The 23,756-nt window shown below is 42.2% G+C and overlaps 2 protein-coding genes across 20 annotated transcripts in view, besides 4 other annotated features; one reads left to right on the top strand and one right to left on the bottom strand.

Moving 5' to 3' along the window:
- The window catches only part of SP110 (SP110 nuclear body protein), a 60,451-nt gene that overhangs the window by 2,789 nt on the left and 33,906 nt on the right, over positions 1–23,756 (top strand). For 7 of the 18 annotated variants that reach the window (NM_001378446.1, NM_001378445.1, NM_001378442.1 and 4 more), the window contains 10 exons: positions 1,064–1,143; positions 5,920–6,067; positions 7,730–7,898; positions 9,821–10,087; positions 10,418–10,501; positions 11,295–11,378; positions 12,840–12,917; positions 14,789–14,857; positions 20,120–20,269; positions 21,883–21,963. In NM_001378446.1, coding sequence (NP_001365375.1) covers positions 1,127–1,143; positions 5,920–6,067; positions 7,730–7,898; positions 9,821–10,087; positions 10,418–10,501; positions 11,295–11,378; positions 12,840–12,917; positions 14,789–14,857; positions 20,120–20,269; positions 21,883–21,963 — 1,147 coding nt within the window. In that variant the 5' untranslated portion in view covers positions 1,064–1,126. Of the gene's footprint in view, positions 1–1,063; positions 1,144–2,863; positions 2,975–5,919; positions 6,068–7,729; positions 7,899–9,820; positions 10,088–10,417; positions 10,502–11,294; positions 11,379–12,839; positions 12,918–14,788; positions 14,858–20,119; positions 20,270–21,882; positions 21,964–23,756 lie in introns of those variants that run through there. The other 11 variants (XM_047444120.1, NM_004509.5, NM_001378443.1 and 8 more) reach the window with 4 other exon arrangements.
- SP140 (SP140 nuclear body protein) overlaps positions 1–23,756 on the bottom strand; it is a 130,421-nt gene that overhangs the window by 93,724 nt on the left and 12,941 nt on the right. The window contains exons 1-3 of one of the 2 annotated variants that reach the window (XM_011510517.4): positions 19,155–19,280; positions 9,079–9,194; positions 8,774–8,889 (exon numbers count right to left, since the gene is read on the bottom strand). The gene's annotated coding sequence lies outside the window, so the exon portion shown is untranslated. Of the gene's footprint in view, positions 1–8,773; positions 8,890–9,078; positions 9,195–19,154; positions 19,281–23,756 lie in introns of those variants that run through there. The other variant, XM_047443073.1, reaches the window with a different exon arrangement.
- Positions 2,656–3,135: an enhancer, noted in NCBI's record as "active region_17211". NCBI's record gives its function as "activates an Ori minimal core promoter by ATAC-STARR-seq in GM12878 lymphoblastoid cells {active_cell/tissue: GM12878}" and the evidence as "EXISTENCE:reporter gene assay evidence [ECO:0000049][PMID:35858748]".
- Positions 2,752–2,938: a silencer, noted in NCBI's record as "fragment chr2:231084625-231084811 (GRCh37/hg19 assembly coordinates)". NCBI's record gives its function as "represses an EF-1alpha promoter that drives an FKBP-Casp9 reporter gene in an ReSE screen in K562 erythroleukemia cells {active_cell/tissue: K562}" and the evidence as "EXISTENCE:reporter gene assay evidence [ECO:0000049][PMID:32094911]".
- Positions 6,076–6,225: an enhancer, noted in NCBI's record as "active region_17210". NCBI's record gives its function as "activates an Ori minimal core promoter by ATAC-STARR-seq in GM12878 lymphoblastoid cells {active_cell/tissue: GM12878}" and the evidence as "EXISTENCE:reporter gene assay evidence [ECO:0000049][PMID:35858748]".
- Positions 19,700–19,749: an enhancer, noted in NCBI's record as "active region_17209". NCBI's record gives its function as "activates an Ori minimal core promoter by ATAC-STARR-seq in GM12878 lymphoblastoid cells {active_cell/tissue: GM12878}" and the evidence as "EXISTENCE:reporter gene assay evidence [ECO:0000049][PMID:35858748]".

The raw sequence follows: 23,756 nt of genomic DNA, 5'->3' as shown, positions 1-23,756 counted from the left end.
AAAAAAACTTTAATACACACGAAACTAATCTGTGGTGATAGAAAGCAGATCAGTGGTTGCCTGGTGCTGGCCTTAAGGAGGGGATTGTTTGCAAAGGTCACAGGGAACTTTCTAGGGTAACAGAAATGGTCTGTATCTTTTTTTTTTTTTTTGAGACAGGGTCTCACTCTGTCACTGCTCACCAGAGACTGGACCTCCTGGGCTCAAGCAATTCTCCCACTTCTGTCTCCCTGATAGCGGGGACCACAGGTGTATGCCAACATGCCCAATTAATTTAAAAAAATGTATTTTTGTAGAGACGAGGTCTTGCTCTGTTGTCCAGGCTGGTCTCAAACACCTGGGCTCAAGCGATCCTCCTGCTTTGACCTCCCAGAATGCTGGGATTATAGGCACAAGCGACTCTCCAGGCCTAGAAATGGTCTACATCTTGACTGGTGTAGTAACTACATTTGGTAAAATGTACATTACAATGAATAAATTTTATACCTCAATAAAATGGAGCTAAAAAGAATTATGTATAATTTATCTCAGTACATAATCACTAGCATGTGAATTAACAGGTGACGTTTTCCCATTATTACCATGTTCTCAAGCATGCATTTTTTTTTTTTTTTTTTTGAGGCGGGATCTCACTCTGTTGCTCAGGCTGAACTGCTGTGGCGCAGTCTCAGCTCACTGCAACCTCCAGCTCCTGAGTTCAAGCGATTCTCATGCCTCAGCCTCCCGAGTAGCTCGGATTACAGGCATGTGCCACCACGCCCAGCTAATTTTTTTGTGTTTTTAGTAGAGACGGGATTTTGCCATGTTGGCAAGGCTGGTCTTGAATTCCTGGCCTCAAGTGATCTGCCTGCCTCAGCCTCCCAAAGTGCTAGCTAAGCTACAGGCCTGAGCCACTGTGCCCAGCCAAGCATATATGGCTTAGAATAAACATCTTTCATCCTCATTCGCAGCTGTCTTTTTTTCATGTAACAATTTTTGCCTGATTTGACATTGACTTTATTTTCCCACTCCTGCTTTACTTTTGTTTGTTTGTTTTGCATTTGCCTGGTGTATCTCTGAATAGATCTAAAGGAAGAAGTTCTTGCTGCCAGGATCCTCAGATGCCCATGAAGGGGCTTTCCAGGTGATGGGGAGGGGCTTCAGGTAAGTGACATGTGACATTTGCATAAAATAACCTTAATTCCTTTACCACCGCCATCCCCTGCATCACAGCGCTGTATGTTACTGCATGCTGAGGCATCAATGCACCCTCTCCTCAGCTGTTAGCATTGAATTTTTCCTGGCTGTGGCTTCCATGCCTCTGTTTCACCCACAGCCATTACCCGCAAGGCCGGGTCTGCTATTCTGTACATACTAGGGTGGGATATGCTGTTTGTGCCTGCATAGAAGGGCTTGCTCTTATGCAGTTAGCCTTGGTTTCAAAGCTTCTTAAACTTTAGATCCATGTCTCCCATCTTTTATCTGAGGAGTTTGTGGATGTCCTGGTAGGGGAACTTGTGGGTCAAATACATTTGAGAATTATTGATTTAATCAAAGTTACATAGAATTCTTTTTTTTTTTTTTTTTCGAGATGGAGTCTTGCTCTGTCACCCAGGCTGGAGTGCAGTGGTGCGATCTCGGCTCACTGCAACCTCCACCTCCTGGGTTCAAGCAATTCTCCTGCCTCAGCCTCCCAAGTAGCTGGGATTACAGGTTCCCGCCACCACATCTGGCTAATTTTTGTATTTTTAGTAGAGATGGGGTTTCACCATGTTGGCCAGGATGGTCTCAAACTCCTGACCTTGTGATCCACCCATCTCAGCCTCCCAAAGTGCTGGGATTACAGGCGTGAGCCACCGAGCCTGGCCCAAAGTTACACAGATTTCTATAGTGCAGTGGTGCAATCATAGCTCACCGCAGCCTTGAACTCCTGGGCTCAAGCAAGTCTCCAGCCTCAGCCTCCTCACTAACTAGGACTACAAGGTGCATGCCACCACACTCAGTTAATTTTTTATTTTTTTATTTTTTGTAGAGATGGGGTCTCACTATGTTGCCCAGACTGGTCTCAAACTCCTAGGCTCAAGCAATCCTCCCATCTTGGCCTCCTAAAGTCCTGGGATTATAGGCATGAGCCACTGTGCCTGGCCAATAGTTTAGGATTTTTCATAGGCCCCACATGTCAATGTACATTAGGGATCTTTAAAAGGGGCATGAGAAGGGGTGTCCCTGCCAGCCCTTGAGTTACTGCTCTCTGGAATCAGCAGGTCCCAGTTCTGCCTCAGACTCCTGGCTCCCAACTACCTGCCCAGCTCTCAGCCATTTTTCTGCCTGGAGGTCTGCCTGCCTCTGCACAATTCCAGTTCATGTGCAGGTTCCCTTTCATTTCAATTTCTTCCTGTAATAATCTTATCCTGACAAGTTCTAGGCATTTCTGGCACATTCTCTTTGTTTTTTTGTGTGTTGTTAGAGTTTGATAACACACTGGATAAATTCCAGTGAATTCATTCAGTTATGTAAACATCACCACAATCCAGTTTGAGAACATTTTCATCAACCTAAAATGTACAGAATGAGGACAAGTCATGGGAAAATAGATGTGGTTAGGGAAGCATTTGGACGCTGAGTTCCCAGTTCCTATTGCCGCTGGGGCTGTACCCTTATGCCTCCTCCTCCCATACCTCCCTCTCTGGGCTGATCCCAACTGGCAACACGCCCTCCCCCAAACCCCAACTGCCAAGACGTCCTGGGAGCCTCACAAGTGCCCATGAGGAGGTGGAGAGAGGCTGCAGGCACCGACCTGCCTTCAGCTTCCGGCTTGGCAAACTCCGAAAACTTTCACTTTTCTTTTCTCGGAAGCCCGGCCCCTTACTGCGTTTGTCAAAGCACAGACTTCCTGTTTTGCCTGCTAGCATCTCCCTGTAACTCTCCCAATCTTGAGGAGTGATCCCTGTCCCAGCCCCTGGAAAGGGGCAGGAACGACAAACTCAAAGTCCAGGTGAGTTTCTGTCTTTGCTGCTTTATTCTTCGCTCTTGGTGACTGCAGCTCTTAGAGTTAACTTCGCGGCAGCAGCTGCAGGGTGGAGTTCAACTATTTAAACTCTGAGGCTCTCTCAGAGCTCAGACATGTGGTACTTATTAGGAGACTGTTAAAAGGGGGCACATGGAGGGAACACTGACACCTCTTTTTTTCGCCAGAGTCCAGCCTGTTATTGTGAATGGAGCCGAGATTTGCCCTCTACCCTCACCTAAGCTCTGATCCTTCAGTGCCCGCAATAGGCGGCTCATCTGTTATCCATTGTGTAAATGACTAGAGGTACTTGGGAAGCTGGTGGAAAAGAAAAAAATGAGAGTACATTTAATTTCGTCTCTAGTGTATCATGAACTTTTTATATATTTTCTCTAAATACATGATTATTTCCTTGAAATAAATTATTAGAAGTGGAAATTCAAAGGAGCACATGTTTTAGGACATTTGACACTGATTACTAAATCAGCCTTCAGAACATTTGGACCTGTTGACCTTCCCACTCACAGTGTCTGAGATTATTACTATTATTTTCTATCTTGGCCAATTTGATAGACAAATATGTTATCAAATTGTCTTCATTTACACTTTTTTTGGTTGTTTGTTGTTGTTGTTTTCTGAGACGGAGTCTCGCTCTGTCACCCAGGCTGGAGTGCAATGGCACCATCTCAGATCACTGCAACCTCCACCTCCCAGGTTCAAGCGATTCTCCTGCCTCAGCCTCCTGAGTAACTGGGACTACAGATGTGCACCACCACGCCCAGCTAATTTTTGTATTTTTAGTAGAGACAGGGTTTCACCATGTTGGCCAGGCTGGTCTCGAACTCCTGACCTCAGCTGATCCGCCCACCTCAACCTCCCAAAGTGCTGGGATTACAGGCATGAGCCACCATGCCTGGCCTTCTTTATGCTTTCTACTAGCTAGTTAACATGCTTATCGTATTATTCATTGCACATTTGGCTTATTCTTTTATCACTCTCTGTTCATGTATTTTGCTTTTTTATTTTCTAGTTGGATGTTTGTCTTTTGCTTATTCGTTTGCAAAATCTCTTTACATAATAAAAATCTGAACAGTCATATATGAGATGTAGTATCTTGCATAGAAAGAAACAGGGCTTTAGAGTCAGACAAGCTCTGCTTTGCCACTGAATACCTTGGGTGAGTTACTAAACCTCTCTGTGCCTCCCTTTCATCTTTGGGACTCATGACAGATGAAGAATGAGGAAGCTCTAGACTTCCTGTTCTGAGCGCTGCTGTATAATGAATTGTTCTAAAAGGAGCCTCCAAGACCCCTTCCTCTTCTTAGTATATGTTTACTCTGCCTTTCTCTGACTTTGCACTGATCTTTGCACTATCTCCTTCCCCTGTGCATATTGTGGATAGTAGATTTCTCTCCTATCTGTTCTCTATCTTCCAAGACTTCTTTACCACCACAGACTCTCAATGGCATCTTTTCTTGTTTTCCTATGCGATTGCGGATTATTCTTTTCATGAGTATTTTTTTCTGCCAAGTTAAAAAAATTGGGGAATGAGGAGAAAGAGACTAGGGTGCTTAATCTGCCACTGGGATTAAATCCCTGTAAACAGTTGTTAATTACGATTTACTTTTCTGTTCAACACAAAATGAAGTTGGAAAAGTGGAATCCATGTTTGTTCTGTTTGTTAAAAACTGTCAAGTTGATTGAATGTTTTGTTAGTGCTTTTCCTTTTCTTGACAATTTGTCAAGAATGTCATTTGTAAACTTTCTTCCCATTATAACCTATTGATATCTCCTCACAGTCCATAAATGGCCAATCTTTAATACATGCTGCATGGGCATGGGAAAAGGCGCATGTCTGAGACATGAAATGGTTGCAGTGAACAAGTCAGTTAAGTCACTTTTACTAAGTATGCCTTTCTCAGCCCTCATGCTTTTATTTATGCTTGGCCCATTTGTGTTGAAGATTGGGAGTGGTTCGTTAAAGTTTCCAAATATTACCAGGTTTCCAGCTGAACTCTACCCATTTTAGGGTGGTCCCTGTTGCATGAGCATTGCTAGTTAATGGCTTCAGCCGTAGCCCAGGTCATCTTGTTTAACCCAGATCAGTGTGGCCATAGAACACATAGTTAGCACTGTAAGCCTGGAATCAGGATTTGCTCCCAGCTCTTCCACTCTCTAGTTGTGCAACCCTGGGGCAAGTTATTAAACATTTCTGTGTCTCAGTTCCTCAACAGTATAAACAGGTGCAGTCATAGGAACCACCTCGCAAGGGTTTTATGAAAATCAGATAAGTTACTGCATATGAAACCCTTAGAACAAAGTCTGGCACACAGGAAACACTCCATAAATATTAGCTACTTTTAATACCTTCCTTATGTTTACCTGCAGCGCCTTGGGATTCTGTCATTATATTTTCAGTCACTCTCAGCCTCCATTGTTGCTGGGAATTGTCCTTGTTTCCTATACCCATGAGCCTTTTAGGCAGACATTGCTTTGCAGGCTACTAAGGATGCCTTTGGGACCAGAATGCTTACCTTTAGATCTGCCCATTTAATGCAGAGAGAAGCTTCCCACATTCCTCAAGGTTTTGCTTCTATTTTTTTTTTTTTTTTTTTTGAGATGGAGTCTCACTCTGTCACCCAGGCTGGAGTGCAGTGGCACAATCTTGGCTTACTGCAACCTCCACCTCCCCGGTTCAAGCAATTTTCCCGCCTCAGCCTCCCAAGTAGCTGGGACTACAGGCGTGCGCCACCACACCCAGCTAATTTTTGTATTTTTAGTAGAGACAGAGTTTCACCATGTTGGCCAGGATGGTCTCAATCTCTTGACCTCAGGTGATCCACCCACCTCGGCCTCCCAAAGTGCCGGGATTACAGGCATGAGCCACCGCGCCCAGCCTTTGCTTCTATTTTTTATCATGCCTCTTTCCATAGGATGTTCACCATGACAAGAGCCATGGAAGAGGCTCTTTTTCAGCACTTCATGCACCAGAAGCTGGGGATCGCCTATGCCATACACAAGCCATTTCCCTTCTTTGAAGGCCTCCTAGACAACTCCATCATCACTAAGAGAATGTACATGGTGAGTCATGTTGAACCCTTCCATGGCAGCCCAGCCCCCACCAATATGCCTGATTATTAAAGTCTCAAACCACAAACCACCAGGGCTTCCAGAGTTTGGAAGGCCCAGCCCAGGCATGTTCATTATCACAGAAGGTGGGGGTAGTTAGGAGAGAGGGTGTCATAGGGGCTATGTTGGTTTCTAGGGTGTCATAAGGACTGCTGTAACAATGACTACAAACCAGGTAGCTTAAAACAACAGAAATATATTCTCTCAGGTGTGGAGGCCAGAAGTCCAAAATCAAGGTGTTGACAGGGTTGGTTCCTTCTAGAGGCCCTGAGGAGAATCCGATAGCTGCCTATCTCCTAGCTTCTGGTAGCTGTTGGAAATCCTTAGTGTTCCTTGCCTTGTAGATGCATCACTCTGATATGTTTTCATCTCTACATCACCTCTCTTTTGAGTCTTCTACCTAATCTTCTGAGGACACTTGGATTTAGGGTCACCCTAATCAAAGATGATTTTATCTCAAGATCCTTAACTTAATTACAACTGCAAAGACACTTTTTCCAAATAAGTTCACATTCACAGATTCTAGATGGATATATCTTGGCTGAGATATATCCATCCAACATTCAACTCACTACAGGCATCATCCCAATTTATAACAGCTAATATTGCTCACAGTGCATTCTGATGTGAGACAGGCAGGCACTGGGAGATATGCTATGTGGACAAAAGTGGACCTATTTTTATATAATTTTGGTTTTTAAAAGCATTAATTGAGCCCTAGACTCAAGGAAGTGCCAATAATCTTCCCTTAGTCTTAGTCTGGTTGGCCCCAACTCCCTCTTCAGATCACAGCCCAGAGAGCACTCCTCAGAGACATCTCCTTGGCCAACTCATCTCATGAAGACCCCTTAGTTATTCAGTTCCATAGCAATCTATGCTTTCCCTCCGTAACACTACTCTCAATTGTAAATGGGTATTTATTTGTGTTTATTAATGCTCATCTTCTCCACTTGACAGTGCCTACCCTGACCCCCAAATATAGGCAACTCCATGTTGGTCTTATTCAGTGCTGTGTACCCAAAGACTCGCTGACCGAGCCTAGTAGATGTTCAATAATTATTTGCAATCAGTTCTCTCTTGCCGTATTTCTCCTTTTGTCCATCCTCTAGGCAAGGAAAATTCTCAGGGTGACTTCTCTGTGGCTGGAATCCATTCAGGCTTATCTCAAGTTTGAGAGACACAGAGAGAGACTGAGCAGAGGCTCACAAGCAACCAGCAGAATTGCCTCTGTGACCATCACTAGAACCATTGCTGAAGTATCCTGCCCACAGCTTTAAAGAATCAATTACATAGTAGCATCCTTTAACCCCACTTTCCTTCCTTCAAATTTCTCTCGTCTCAAATGTGCCTGAAAGTTGGATTCAGAATATAGACTTACTTTAAGAAAGCTAAATTATTTATTTTTGTTGCTAGTCATCCAAATATGTGTAAAGTTTCAAAAATAAGCATGTAAAACTGTGACCGCTCTACCTTAGAGAATGTGACTATATATTTTATGTTGAATTTCTTCTTAAAAGAGTAAGGTAGCTTTCTTAAAACTTAGAAAACCATAAATGTATAACTTCCCATTCAATTTTATAGTCATTTATAAAAACCTTCACTCCATTTTTATAGGAATCTCTGGAAGCCTGTAGAAATTTGATCCCTGTATCCAGAGTGGTGCACAACATTCTCACCCAACTGGAGAGGACTTTTAACCTGTCTCTTCTGGTGACATTGTTCAGTCAAATTAACCTGCGTGAATATCCCAATCTGGTGACGATTTACAGAAGCTTCAAACGTGGTAATGAGATTTCTCAAGTGCTTTTTGCATTTAAAAAGTTGCTATGGTAAAAGTCTGGGTTTACTTCTAGCCCTGTGGAATATGCACGTTAATCCCCCGCCTTCTCTCTGGGGTGGAATGGACCATATTCTCTCATTGGTACAGCTGCAGGAGCAGCCCCTTGCTAAAGCTGATCCCAACTCTCTAAGATGAACTTCTAGAGGACATAAACATTTCTTATGTGTTCTATGAATTTGGAAAAAAATCATACAATTTGGCATACTGGAAAATCTATAGGGAATGCATAAGGTGACAGAAATGCAAAGTTACAAAGATCAGGTCTGGTGGAAGGACAAGGAGAGCCAGGGAGGAAGAAAAAATGAATGTGGACGGATAATAATAAGTATCTTTTTTTGGTGCCTTATCGCAAACACTTTATTTGATTATCTCACATCATCTTTAAAACAACCCTTTGAAGTCATTTTTAACCCCATTTGACTGACAGAGAAATTAAAGCCCAGAGGTAATCTTCCCAAAATTACTTGTTGGTTAAGAAGCAGAGCAAGAGTCCTACTTGGGTCTCCCAATACCAGGGCCCAAGATTTTAACCACTAGTCCGGACAAGGACAGCTGGAAGGCAGATTGTAAAGCCAGAGAAGGGAAAAAAGGTAGCTACAGAGAAAGGGAGTGAATCGCAAACATAGCCACAGAAAGAGAGGGTCTGAGAAAGAATGGATCATGAAGTACGTAGAGAAAGAAAAGAGACTGGATAAATAAAGGAGTAGGAAAAAGAACAGTGGCAGAGTTGGGAAGAAATCAGCCAGGGAAAGAGAGAGGCAGTAAAGTCATTTTAGGTTGGAAGTAAAACACTGTGGCCAAATCACATGTTCACTTACCTCAGAACAACAAGCAAAGGACCACCAGCTCACATTGGATATTTTCATTAGTGGAATCACCATTGTTGACAGTTCCTCCTTTGCTCTCTGACACTTCACCATCAAAAGGCTTCCCCCTGAAGGGAGAGATGATTTCTTGAGCTACATGGACAGTGAAAGGGGCAAGTCCACCTCCAGGTAGGGGCAGCTACAGAGGGCCCACTGTCCTGGCAGCATCTGGGCAATACTAGGAGAGGCATGGCCTTAAAGGCTATGGTAAGAACATCTGAGAACCATGGGGACCCACACACTGATGTGCCCCTGACCTGGCTGAGCTTCAGTCATCTTCCGGGATCTTCAACCTGATGATTTTGTTCTGAATCCCTTTCCAAAATTTGAAGTTACTTTCCTTTTTCCATTCACTGGTTGAGACCATTTACTTCTGAAATAAATGATGGAGAAGAATCTTAAGAGAAACCCAGCACTAGCCATGCAAGGGAATAGCATGCAGAAAGCCAAGGGTCTGGGGTATTGTGGATGGGAGAGAAAGCTGGGTGTGACCAGATCACAGGGTACAATAGAAGGCACAGAAGCTGACTCTGCAGAAATGAGCAGAAACCAGAATATAAATGTCCTAATACACCCTGCTAAGGAATTTTTATTTTCTCTTATTTGCTTCGGGGAAGTATGATCTGTTTATTTATTAAAACAGAGACCTCTTTTAAAACTATAGCATGTTCATTATTGACTAAATTATATGACACCAAGATTAAAGAAAAGTTAAACCCCTGGGTACAAACCCAAACTCAACTTTTATGTGTGAAACCATTTTGGTATTAGATCAGGGCTTAGATGCACTTATTGTAGCACTCAATGCCCAAACCAGATAAATAAAATATTAAGGGGCCACAAATGGATAATGATGACAATGAATCAGTTCTCTGCACCTGGGGGACAATGAATAGCTCCATGCCCCCATCCTATTGGAAGGCATGTATTAAGAAATCCCCTTCCCCAAGTAATTCTGAGTCTCCAGGGTACTGATGTGTGTCCCTTCACCAATCCCAGTTGGTGCTTCCTATGAATGGCAGAGCAGAGACACACCAATCCTACTTGAAGCCCCAACTGGCCTAGCAGAAGGAAGCTCCCTCCATACCCCACTGGCGCTGCCCCCACCACAACCCCCTCAACCAAGCTGTTCACCCTGTGCGCCAAGAGTCAGTGAGCCTGGAACATCCTCCCAGCAAAGCGATGAGATCCTGAGTGAGTCGCCCAGCCCATCTGACCCTGTCCTGCCTCTCCCTGCACTCATCCAGGAAGGAAGAAGCACTTCAGGTGAGAAACAGATCCCATCCAACACCTGTATATCCTCAGCCTAAGGTGCCTGTGCCATGTTGCCGCCAATCCCAGCATCTTGACTTTTATTGTCCTAGTTCTTCTCTTGCACCCATCTACCCAAACACAACCCTTTTCAAGAGGGATTATGAGCACTGCCGGGGGGTGGGTAAGACCTAGAGTCCAGAACACCTGCTTCCCACTCCCGGGACATTCCAACCCTCTGCCCTTGTGCCTTGATGCTCTATCTGCCCCAGGCACTTTTAACATTCACTCTTCTCCCTGACATCCAGTCCCTGCAATCTGTAATAATTTCCTTTCCTCCTTCAGTGACCAATGACAAGTTAACATCCAAAATGAATGCGGAAGAAGACTCAGAAGAGATGCCCAGCCTCCTCACTAGCACTGTGCAAGGTAACACTGACTGGGGCTGATACCGCTTAGCTCAAGGTGACTGTGAAGGGAGAACATGCGTCTGCCAACCAAGAGGCTATGGTGGGAACCCTGGGAAAAAGAACTGAGCAATACAAAGGAAAAGAAACAGAAGGGGCCAATTCACCAACGCAGCAATGCAAAACAAACCAACAACCAAAACACCATTCTGAATTGACAAGTAACCTGCGTAACACTCACACTAGTGACCCTTAGCTGATTCCTCACCCCCACCTGATTATGGGGGCCTTAGAGTTTCAACATTCTTCATTTTTATATGGTTTGGATTCTAAGAACAATGTTATCAAAATTACTAGAAAAGATGATAAAATGTTTAAAGGTCTGCTAGACCTAATATTTAGCTTCTCAAATTGTATCACTTGTCCTCCCCAAACCATCATCATAATGGAGTTTGATTACATTAAACGTAAGAATGGTATGATATTGGGCATTGTCAAAAATGATACCATGGATTCTGAGCTCTCCAGTACTGAGAAGAGGGGTCCTCTTCGATCCAAATAATATTGCATCCACTCCTCTAATACCTACCATCCAAAAAGGTTAACATAATCAGGAAGCTAACAGCAATGGAAGAACAAGTGGCTAATTGAGAGTGAATGGTTGCTTACTTTCCCACTCTATGCCATCCTTTCCCAGGCCTTGGTTGCTGTTACCCCGTCATTTTTACTTGTTGGAATAGAGCATTCTCTTTTCTCCTCATTCTGGTCCCTGCTTGCTGTTCCTGAGATCTAAAACTTTTTCTTCCTCCATTCAGTGGCCAGTGACAACCTGATCCCCCAAATAAGAGATAAAGAAGACCCTCAAGAGATGCCCCACTCTCCCTTGGGCTCTATGCCAGGTAATCTTGGTTTGGTCAACCTAAAAGCTTGCCTTTGTTTCTGTGTTTACTAAGAGGAAAAGCCATTCGGATCTTCTAGAGAGGGGGCTCTCCTCCTGCCTCTCAGCAATCTTGGCCCAGCTTCCAGTTCACCCAGCACTTGGGAGCTTGAACAGGCAGGAGACCCGACCTCTGAATGGATACAGAGTCCCTGGGGGAGGGCAAAGGAGGCAAGTCTGGAAAAGGTAGACTTGGATAGGGCCACGGATGATGATGGACAGAGCCCCACCAGTGCCTGTAGGTTTGGACTCCAAATGCCACAAAGCGCCTGAAAGGGAAACATTCACCTGCCACAAAGGGTTGTGGCAGGAACCCCAGGGGAAAGCAAGGGAACTGAGTCAGGCTGGACTGTTTGACAGAGCCACTCTTCTGAGGCCACTTCAATAAAGTAGTGCTCAAAACGGCTCTGTCAAAATGCAAAGCAAATGAACAAAAACACTGTGTGGCCCTAATAGTGAATTGCTGCAGCAGACATGGATGGTCCTCCTTCCAAGCCCCCACCTGACTGTGGGGAATTTTCACTTTCAACCCTGGTCATTTCTATATCACTTGGAGTTTAAGAGTTGATATTATGAATATAACTTGAAAGGTAATAAATTATTCCAAAGATCTAATGACTGCTTGCCACCTGCCTCAGTCACCTATTCCTAAGCAGGCCAGCATTTGAGACCAATCTCAATGCAGTGTGTAAAGAAAAAGGTGACAGCTTCATGTGAGATGAGCCTTTATTTGTTATGGCTTCAAGTTCTCTGTCTTTCTTTGTGCAGCAAAAACTAGCAGAGCTTTATATGTCTTTGCTGTTAACAGGTGCTAGCAAGCACAGGCTAGCTCCTGCTTTCTTCAAACAATCCTTATATACAGAAATATATAAGGCATTTAGCCTTCTCCACTATTTCTCCAAGTAAAATAACCACAGATAGAGCAGTTAAAGAATATCCACACATAGACGTCAAAGCAATAAGATGTATTTTTCATACAGCAAAGACATTCCCCTTCATCATGGACATCAGATTTCAATATCACCACTTTCCGCTCTCAGCTTCATTCCTTGAGCAGGGGCTGCTGGGAGCAGAAACCATGTGACTATAGTCATGATACCCAGCACAGTTTATTCCTGCAATTTCCATTCATTGCACCTTCTTCACTCACTTCTCTTCCATCCATAAGATAATCTCTCTAAAAGGATCAGACTGAGCCTCTGCTGTGGGGCAGTTGTGCCCTAGTTCCCTGTGATGGTCGCACAGGTAACAATAACCACAAGTTGGCAAAAATCAAGACAGAGCCAGGGAATTCTTAGGGCAAGCAGATTCCCGGCCCTGGGCTGCATGTACTTTCTACTTTTCTAGTTCTTGCATTGACTTCCCTCAGCACTTTCTCTTCACTGGATCTGAGCTCTGAAATGACTTATATTTCTTTTGTCAGAGATAAGAGATAATTCTCCAGAACCAAATGACCCAGAAGAGCCCCAGGAGGTGTCCAGCACACCTTCAGACAAGAAAGGTAAGAAAAGCCTTTCTTCTGTAGAGGTCAGAAGGGTGAATTCAGAGTTGCTTTCTGTTTTTCTGACTGTATCTTGTCAAGAGCACCACTATGTGACCACAGTCCTGATGCCACACACAGTTCGTTTCTGCAGTTTCCATTTGCTGCATCTTCCAAAAAGGCCTTTATGAAAATTATCAGGAAACCAGAAGGCATTTGGGGGTATTGAAATATGCCATTGGAATTGCCTGTTCTGAAAAAATCAATCTCCTATATTCACAACTTCTTAGAGTGTTAATTGCACTTCCCTCTTTAACTGAAAGTTGGTTCCCCAGAGAGGAACCCACTTCCTCTTAAGACATGGCTAGGCATTCTCTGCCATCCATCACTCACACCTCATGGTGAGAGACAGGTTAGATGTCTGTCCTTTGCTGCCTACTGGCCCCATCCAGCCCCTTCCTCCCTGATCCTCTCCTTTGAGTCTTAACCATTCAATTAAAATGTTCACTCACTCATCATCAATATCATCCAATAATTTCCCCAATAATCCTTTCAAAAGCTGCTTTTCTGTCATTTCAAGTCCCAGCATCATCCTAGATGCCTTCAGGGTACACACGGATAACAGACAACTCTGTTATCCAATACTCTGGCCCCTCAAATCCTTCATCTTCTCATTTTCCATGACTTTTTCCTCCACCAATTCTTGGCCTCCCATACCCAAAGGCAAGCTATAGACCCTATCGTCATTCAAACCTGGCTCGATTTCCCAACAGTTAATTTCAGAATTCCTTTTTTGATACCTGTCCTTGAGCTTTTCTCCTTTTATAGCTATCATTCAACCTCTGATCACTCTTTCCCAGCCCAATCCTAACAAAAGAAAAAGAATCAAAAATATATTTTTCTGTGCTTATTTATTTGTTGTTTCCTCTGAAGTTGTCCTTCAACCTCATTTGGATCACCAGTCCACTGGCCTTTCCTCCTTCCAAGCCATCATCTGCTTTTCTTTGCTTCCCAGCTTTTTAACATTGACACTAACTCACAGTCCAAGATTCATCATTTCAGTAATCTATTGCCATTATCTTAAACCTGCCTTTCCTCTCTGCCTTTTCCTAGAACTCTCTGGCAAGTCTTGGAAGACCCTACTTACCTACTTCCTGTACACTGCATCTGAAAGCCAGCAGTGCTGGAGAGAGTTCCACAGCAGGGCAGAGTGCACTCACTGGTCTTCATGGTTCCAGCACAAATCATCTCTCCTTACTGTGTGACAATGCTACTTCCTGCAATAATCCTTTCAAACCTCAAGCCCTATTTTTCAAACCTCTGACCCCCTCACCTCCTGCTTTTTGCTCAATCAGTGACTTTCCCTCCTGCACCATAAGGAGATATCAGATGAGAATCCCCTTATTTGTGCTGCTAGTCCTACAAACCCTAACTACATCTGTCTCCCTCCTCTCCGAGTTCCCTCCTTCTCTTCTAAGACAATCCTTCTGCCTCATCTTATAGTATCCATGATCCCTTCTCTCTCAAGTATTCATTAAAGCAGTATGTCTCACACAAGAATCTGCATTACATGTATCACAGCTCATTAAAAAATGCTTTTTCTTGATTCTCATCTCACTTCAACTACTTCCATATCTCTCTCCTTCATTTCACAACCAAACTTCTAGAAATGAGCTACCTAAACTCCCTGTCTCTATTTCTTCGTTTCTCCTTTTCCTCTGTCATTTTAGAGTCCTTCTTCCCCTATTACTCCCTGAAGTACCATCACCTAAGGTCACCAATGAACTTCTAGCAATGTGGTTTGAAGACCAAAAGTAAAAGCTGAATATCATTGACATACAAGATTGGGAGATCAATGTTTGTAACTATAAAACATTATCCTTTCTTTTTAGGAAAGAAAAGAAAAAGATGTATCTGGTCAACTCCAAAAAGGAGACATAAGAAAAAAAGCCTCCCAGGAGGTAAGATGAGAGTACAAGAGGAAGCTGGAGGCTGGAAACAGCTCATGCAGGGCTTGTAGGTCAAGCTGTGGAGGGTTGAATTTTATTCTAAATGCAATGGGAAGCCATTGAAGAGATTTAGTCAGTGAAGTGACACAATGTAAGCTCAATTTTGCTACGGTGTAAAGAATGAGTTGGAGCTGGGAAAGAATGGAGGCAGGGCAGCCATTTTGGGGCAGATGCCATGAGAGTTCTTGGTGGCTTGGATTCAGATCTGACAGTGGAGATGCAGAGAAGAGTGCCAATTCAAGATCAGTTTTGCAGGTATTGTTGACAGGATTTGACATATTATTAGCTACAGATGAGAAAGAGAAAAATCAAGGCCCACTCTTCAATTTCTGGCTTGAACAAGTAAGTGGTAATGCCCATTGCTGAGGGAAGATGCAAATATATTGGGGGATAACTCTTAGAGTTCAATTATTGACCTGTTCCTTTAGAGGTTTCTGCTAGCCATCTATGCAGCTGTGTATAGATGTGTGTTTTGTCAAGAACTGTAAAGGGTCTAAGATGTTACTCCACTTGCATTGGTATCTCCTTATATATATGAGTGCTGCAGGAACACAAGGTATCTGGTCAGGGAAAATAATTCTTTACTGATATTCACAACCAGCTTATCAGCCAGAGCAATATTGCAGCGTCTGTCTCCCATACACAAACCCAAAGGCAATGCTAAGAGAGCTAATGGAATCTTTCTATTCAAAATAGACTACAACTCATGTATAAGGGATGTAGAATGATGGATTTTTCTGTTTAGATACATGAGAGGGATAGCCATCATCCTTTCCTCCTGAAAGGAAAAGAAAAAACTTTGCTGCTTTGAGATAAAATGGAAAAGATCCTCGTTCCAAAGCTCTCCATCCTAACCTTTGGAATTTAAATGCATCTTTCCAAAGGCCAGAGAAACTCTAGGTGTTGCTGGCTTTTACAACCTAAAGATGTCTCCAAGTTCTGGGCTTTACCCCTTGTGATATATAAATACCTAGGGAAAGACCACTCCAGTTTTCCTGGTACTTTAGGATTTAACCTAGGAAGCTAGTCCTGGGTGAACCCATTTGGCCATCTCAGGAGATAAGAGAGGTTCTATTCTCCCTCTAGATCAGAGTAATTAACTAGAAAAATAGCTATAGCTCTAATTCTCATGGTGTGGGAAGAGGAAAATGTTTCTGGGGAAGTGAAAGCAAGTATTTCCTATATTTATATTGCATACATTTCTGTGTCTCCGGGACTAGGGCTTTTTACAGGAACACTGAGAAATCAGGAAGTTATATTCCCCACAATATGGCAATTTGGCACTCACTGAAAAAGTGTGGTCCATATATATATATATATATATATATATATATATATATATATATAAAATCTGGACCAGATAATATATAATATCTGGACCAGATATATGTATATATATGAGTTATCAATAAAATAAAGGTATTCTGATCTATGGGAGAAGAAAAGAGAACCACAGACCTAGCCCTGCTCTAAGTAATCCCAGTGGAAGAGGAATCTAGCAAGACAGACTGAGGGAACGAGACCAGTGAAGACAGAGGAGCACCAAGAAAGAACATGTTAGCAAGCCAAGAGGGAATGGTTGACTATACTGAGAGACTAAGATAAATTCAGAGAAGAGGGCCTTGAGTTTGGTCACAAAGAATCACTGGAAAATTTAAGAAAAATTTTGGTGATGGAGGCAGGAGCCAGTTGTGTGGGAAGGATAATGAATGGGAGGTGATAACATATGTAGACAACTCTAGCTGTAAAAGGAAACAGAGCAATAGATGGCAGCCTAAGCCAGTGGCTTAAAGCTCCTCTTCCCTGACTTAGTTTATCATTAGTATGATCCCAGTGTCCAAAATCACAGGGCTGGTGTCCTTTTAAGACACTTAACAGAAATGATTCCATTCTAAGAAAAGTAAGTGACCTTCCTGGGCAGGAAGGAGAGACAAGCTGCTTTCTCCCCCATTCTACTTATTAGTCAATGCCCTCTCACCATGTTATGTGTATTCTCTATGGGCCTCCTTGGTTCATTGTAAACTAGTCAGATTATTCAACTCACACTTCTGAGCTTTGTCAATCACTCTCACAACTTCAATTACCACCTTTATACTGATGGCTCCCAACTCTACGTCTTCAACTCAGGTTTGTCTTCAAGAAACACATAGCCAGCTGCACACTGGGCGTCTTTGTTTGCAAGTCTCCCATTGACACTACAGTCTCAATATGCCTGAAATTAACTTCACCTTCTTTACCAAAAACCTAGTCTTCTAAGTACCATTCAGACATTTATTCCAACAAATATGCAGTGAGCACTAACTGTATATACCCATTCTGAAAGCTGAAGACAGATTTTTTTTTTAAAGAGAGAAAGTAAGAAAGTAAGCAAAAAACAAAGGGGAAAGCTCATGGAGGTTACATCCTGGCTGGGGGAAGGAAAGAATATAAACTAGAAAGCACATAAACAAGATAATTTCAAGTACTGATGACAGGATGAAAGAAAATAATGGATAGGATTACAATAGTGACTTGCAGGTTGGGGTGGGAGTCACTTTGGATTGGATGGTCCAGGCAGAGGGACTCAAAAGTGCAAAGAACCTGAGGCAGAGAGGAAAGACCAGTGTTGTTGGTGATGATGAAGAAAGAAGGTGGTAGGAAGTGAAAAAGTAAACAAGAATCAGATTATGTAGGGTTTCACAGGCCCTTGGGAGCCTGTTGTAGTTTAACTTGAAATGAGGAACTTAATCTACCCAGGTGCCAAGCAAAAACCTTAGTCATCCGTGACTAACTGAACTCTATTAGCATATTGACAAGGTCTATTGGTTCACCCTCTTCTTTTCTACATTAAAATCTAATTAGTTTATTTCCATGCTTAAATCTTGTCCATGGCCTCCTATTGCCCTTAGGGTAATGTTCACTGTCCTTAATGTGATTGTTAAAGTTCTATCCAGTCTAACTCATGCCTTACCCTCCAACTATTAATATATCTCTTTCCACTCAAAACTCCAGTCAACCACTCTGAACTTTCATTTCTTCCCATTTCATTTCTCTCCCCTTTGATCCTTGGCATGTGCTATTCTCTTTGGATGCTATATTCTGAACCTACACTACTCCCCATAAATGTTTAGTTATCTCCTTTTCATCAGTCGTGTTGACTTATGTCTATCTCAGGAATACATACTCTGACCCCTAAATTAGCCAAGCTGGTCCCATAATTTCTACAGCACCCAGCACTGGCTCTTTTGGAAGGTTCCAAATACTCTATTGTAATTACTTACATAATGTGTCTCTTCTAGGCTAGATGGTAATGTCCTGGCACAAATTAGCTATTAATTTTTTTTTAATGAAAAAAAAATGAAAGAAACCATACTTTCTGTAACCCAAAATTTGAATAATGATCTGACAAAGGATAGTTTATGAATTCATTATTGTGTTATGAAAAGGGGTCATAGACATTATGGGCACCACGTGGTGTAGATACAAACTAAAGGTTATTGGAGGGAAATTTCCAATACAATTCTCCAAATTCTTATTATCCCATATTTAGGGCAGACATACGTACTCTGCACACCCCGTGGCCAGCAGCCCAGTAGTGAGATGCCCACTCTCACAATGCTCTACACGTTATAGGATTAGGGAGACAGGGAATGTCTATGCAACTATACAATTATGAACACTCCCTGGTCAGAGAAGTGACTTTGTTAGAGAGGGGAAACCTCTGGAGTCAGTGTCAGATGGTCAGTTCTGTTGAGGTAACTCTGACCTTTTGACATCTCTCTGCCAAGCTACCGAAAGGAGTAGACTCCAGTCCCTTCCAGATTTGCCTTTCTTCATATTGTATTTAAATGAAATTTTTCAGGTTTTTTAAAAGAATCGTTTTATTTTAAATGTGACAGATGATGTGCTTTTAATTTTCTTTTTTCCAATTTTCCAATTTTTTACCTGGGTAAAATACACATGACATAAAATTTATCATCTCAACCATTTTTAGGTGCATAGCTCAATGGTATTAAAATACATTCACAATGTTGTGCAACCATCACCACCATCCATCTCCAGGACTCTTTTATCTTGTAAAACTAAAACCCTGTACCCATTAAACAACTCCCCATTCCTCCCTGCCCGCAGCCCAACAGAGATATTTTTAAGAGTCATATTATTTTACATTTAATTAATCAGCTTTATTTTTTACAAAACAAAACACATAAAAAGATGTTTCAAAATTGTAAGAGAAAAATATATATAGTAGTGCTGAAAATATACATACCACACTCTCATATTTTCTGTAAGTGTTCTCATCTCCGAAACCCTCCTTTAGTTATGCAGAAAAAAAACCCTAAACTTGGCAATGAAAGGCAAGTTTTAGGCTCTATCAGGCTGCCCCACCTCTTCTGGATAAATATTCAGTAACTTCCGTGTTTGAACTTCCCGCCAGCCCTGGGTCCCACCGGGCTTTCGCTTCCGCCCCCTCTTAAGGGTTCACCCATGCCTTTTCCTCCGGAAGTGGCCTGCGGATATCACCGCACTTGCGTGCGGGAAGCATGGCTGCACACTCTGTGTCCTTTCTAACCTGCAGAGAAACGTTCTTGTTCAACAGGACAGCGGTCATCCTGTGGGATCAGCTTCTAAAGTCAACAGCCGGTGAAAATTGTGTTCTTTTTCCACAATGAAGCAAACTCACCTCTGCACCCTCTGGCATTGCACCTCCTCTGGGTCTCAGCCTCACCTTCCATCTCTCCCTCATGGTAGCCGCCTTCTTGGCAGGGTCCTTCCCTCTCAGTTTTTTTAATACCTTGCACTTTGCCCACTGAAGGCACCTAGAAACTTTTGGAAATCTCTTGTACCACACACAGGCCGTGGGGGAACCTGGAGAGGTGCTTTATAAGACACCTCCTCTCCACCTAGACGAGACTGTGTGGCCACCTCGTGGTGCAGGCCGACACAAACGAAAATCAGGAAATAAGCTCTAGGATTTCCCCAGCTTTATCTAGTTGATTGCAACAGGTCATACCAGGAGTGAAAGCAGATGGTAATTTGGGGAGGCAAAGAAAGGTACACATAAGAAGAAGGATATAATTATAGAGAAGTAGGAGGAGAAAAGTGAGGTACAGGGGTACAGAGATCTGAAAGAGTGGGAGTTAGGGGCATGAGAAGGGAAGTCACTGATTGGGACTGTAGGAGGCTCACTGAAGACCCCAATTTAAACTATTAACAAGTCATTATTTGGTCCAGGGACAGCCTCATCTAGACACGGAATCCAAAAGAAGCTCAAAAGGGTGGATCAGGTTCCTCAAAAGAAAGATGACTCAACTTGTAACTCCACGGTAGAGACAAGGGCCCAAAAGGCGAGAACTGAATGTGCCCGAAAGTCGAGATCAGAGGGTAAGGCTGATGATGGAATCTGCCATTTGAATGGCTCAGTGTGGGAGGGTCTCTCCTGAAGCAGGTACAGAGTTAAGTAGATATGTAAAGTCAATAGTAAAAGGAAAAAGTACAGAGAATGAGGATGGGGTATAACAAGAGGAACAAAGAGAGCAAGCATCTGTTGCATCTGAAAAGTTTTGTGGAAGAAACAGACGTGTTCACAGGGACAGCTGTGGCCTGGGGCAGCAGCTCTCAAATTTTTTGGTCTCAGGACTCCTTTATGCTCTCAAAAATTATTGAGGACCCTAAGGAGCTTCTGTTTATGTTGTTTATGTCTATCTACATGTACCTGATTAGAAATTAAAACTAATAATTTTAAAATATTAATTCATGTAAAAGTAACAATAATAAACCAATTGCCTGTTAACATAAATAGCATTATTTTATGAAAAGTAAATATATTTTCTAAAACAAAAAAAATTAGTGAAAAGAGTGACATCATTTTATGTTTGTGCAAATCTCTTTGATTGTGAGTGAGCTTTATAAAAAGACAGCTGGATTCCTACAACTGTTTCTGCATTCAGTTGTGATATGTTGCTTTGATTGAAGGATAGAAAGAAAATCTGGCCTTACACAGATATCTAGTTTAAAAGGGTGAGGTAATTTAACAGTCTTTTGAGATATCTGTGGATATTCACCTTTAATACTACACCAACACTCAACAAGTGATAGTTTCTTAAATATTAGTTGTAATGTAAAATTTGAAACCATATCAATTAACTTCATACTCTGTTACAATAAAATACATTAATCCACCTTGCATTTTGAATGGACCTTCTACTAATGCAAGATTTTATAATAGTACAGCTGTTTGGAAAATATACATTTGGAATTATACAGTGAGCTTGTATCTCAATCACACAAGTGTTTTCTTGAGGCCACTGTGGTACTTCAGGATGCAATAGAAGTGCTTTATATGTGCTCTTCAGTTTTTCACATAGAATATTAAGATGTCAGATATGTACTCAAGGGTAGAAATTTAATAAAATTAATAATTTTTACTGGCTCACCAAAAACATTCTCAAGTGAATCTTGCTTTTATTTTTATTTTTTTTGGTACAGTGAGTAGGTGGCAATAAAGGATGCAGTGATTCCTGCTGAGATTTGGGGACACTGCTTTGATGTGTCTTAAGGCACCAGCAGTTTTATCTGCCATTGCTCTTGCTCAATCTGTACAAAGGTTGAAATAGTGAAAAAGGCAAATAACATCATATTATGAAAACAATTTGACCTTGCAAATTTTCTGAAACGGTTTGACAGACCCCCTAGGGGCTCACAGACCTTACTTTGAGAGACTCTGGCCAAGGGGTTCAGATGGCTGCACCCCACTGTGGATGTCTCCATTGGTAGAGTAACCACTGCTAACCAACTGCGGTCTGCTCCTCCCCTGAGTGGCAGACAGGCACAGTGTCATGAGCAGCACCAAATCTCTTGGTAGATGCATTGTTAGGAGGGTAAGACCTGGAGCCTCCAAGACTCAACTTCAGAGTGTGCAAGGGCCTTCCTGGGTCTCTGGGAGATTCTCCATGGTGTTTCCCAAGGGGCATTTACTAAGATCTTTCATTTTCCAGAGATCATTGATGGCACTTCAGAAATGAATGAAGGAAAGAGGTCCCAGAAGACGCCTAGTACACCACGAAGGGTCACACAAGGTAAAACTTGGAGATTGCTGGTCTCAGAGTACAGTCACCAGGAATCTAAATTCAGAGCTGTCTTACACTGAGGCAATATTTCTTAACTTTTTTTTTTCATTATTACTGTGCTAGAGAGCCCTTCTGGATTTTTTTTTCTTAATCAAGACCCTTCCCATGATATTTACTACTACAAATATATGTCCATTTTATGTAATGTGTCCATATGTATGTATGTATATCTGCACTATATAAGATTTTTCTCAGCACTCAAGAATGAGTTTTTCCACTACTGGCAGCAATATCACCATTACTGAGAATGAGTGTCCTAAGTATATTCATGGTACTATACTGAAAGTACAGCTTGTCGAAAGTGCAGCTTGATCCAACCCATGGATCAAGCTTTTTCCTAGAATTCCAATCTCCATATTTCTCATGTGGCCTTTCTGAGAAAATTGAGAAGCGAAAAACTCATTAAAACACACATGTGACACTATGACTGAGCATGTACAACTGGTGGAGTTGTGGGCATGTGCTGGTAAAATTGTGCATGTTAATTCACCCCTCACTATCGCTACCATTATTCACATTTCTGGAGTAAGTTGATAACACTATCCTTAGAGGGGAAAAAACAGCTAGATATTCGTCTGTTTGCTGGTGATATGGTCATTGTCACAAAAATCACAGAACTCTCACATGACAAATGTGATTTTCAAACAACAAATATCTAATTATTGTCAGGAAAAATGGATTAAATTTTACCACCTTAAAATCTAAATTATCATTTTAACAGTTTCTCCTATATTGCACTGGCTTATCTAGTAGTATTTCAACTTTTCTCATGGATAATTTTATTTTATTTTCACAACCACCCTTGGAGAAGATTGAATGACCTATTCCAATTTAGCAGATGAGGAAATTAAGATATGGAAAGGATTAATGGATTTTTTTCAGGATCCCCTGGGTAAGGGCTGGCTGCCACCGGGTTAACAACCTGGTCCCCAGGAACTCTTTTCAGGAGCCATCGTTCTCCATAGAAAGGAAGGGGCAGAAAGAATACTGTCAAACCTTTGTCAATTCACTATTGCCCAAAATAGAAAACTGCTTATTCAAAAATTACTTTCTCATTACTTCCAAGATCCTATGGATAATGGAAATAAACTCTCTCTGGGAAAATCTCCCAGGGCAGAGCATAAGTGTGAAGAAGAAACTATTTGGTCTCTGTGGTGTGGATTGATGTTACCTTACTGTTATTATGCCATTCTAGGCCATAAAAGACATCCAAGCCAGAAAAAGCGTTATGCTTTTTAAAATCATGATTTCACTTTTTTTCAACATAGAAAAGTTCCTGGACTTTTCTAAAAGCAGTGTGCTGTCACCATTAGGATTATGTTGCTGGCCCAGCACAGTGGCTCATGCCTATAATCCCAGCACTTTGGGAAGCTGAGGTAGGTGAATCACTTGAGGCCAGGAGTTCGAGACCAGCCTGGCCAGCATGATGAAACCCTGTCTCTACTAAAAATACAAAAACTAGCCAGGCGTGGTGGTGGGCGCCTGTAATCCCAGCTACATGGGAGGCTGAGGAAGGAGAATCGCTTGAACCCAGGAGGCAGAGGTTGCAGCGAGCCAAGATCACACCACTACACTCTAGCCTAGGTGACAGAGTGAGACTCTGTCTCAAAAAAAAAAAAAAAAAAAAAGAGGATTATGTTGCTGTGTGTGACAGCAAACCTCACCCCACTAAAAAAAAAAAAAAATAATAATAATAATAATAATAGTAGCTAAAGCAAGAGAGGTAGGTGGTCAAGAGCTGG

The sequence above is a fragment of the Homo sapiens genome, chromosome 2, assembly GCF_000001405.40.
Source record: "Homo sapiens chromosome 2, GRCh38.p14 Primary Assembly".
NCBI classification, from domain to species: Eukaryota; Metazoa; Chordata; class Mammalia; order Primates; family Hominidae; genus Homo; species Homo sapiens.
This window is presented reverse-complemented; position numbering and strand designations above follow the sequence as displayed.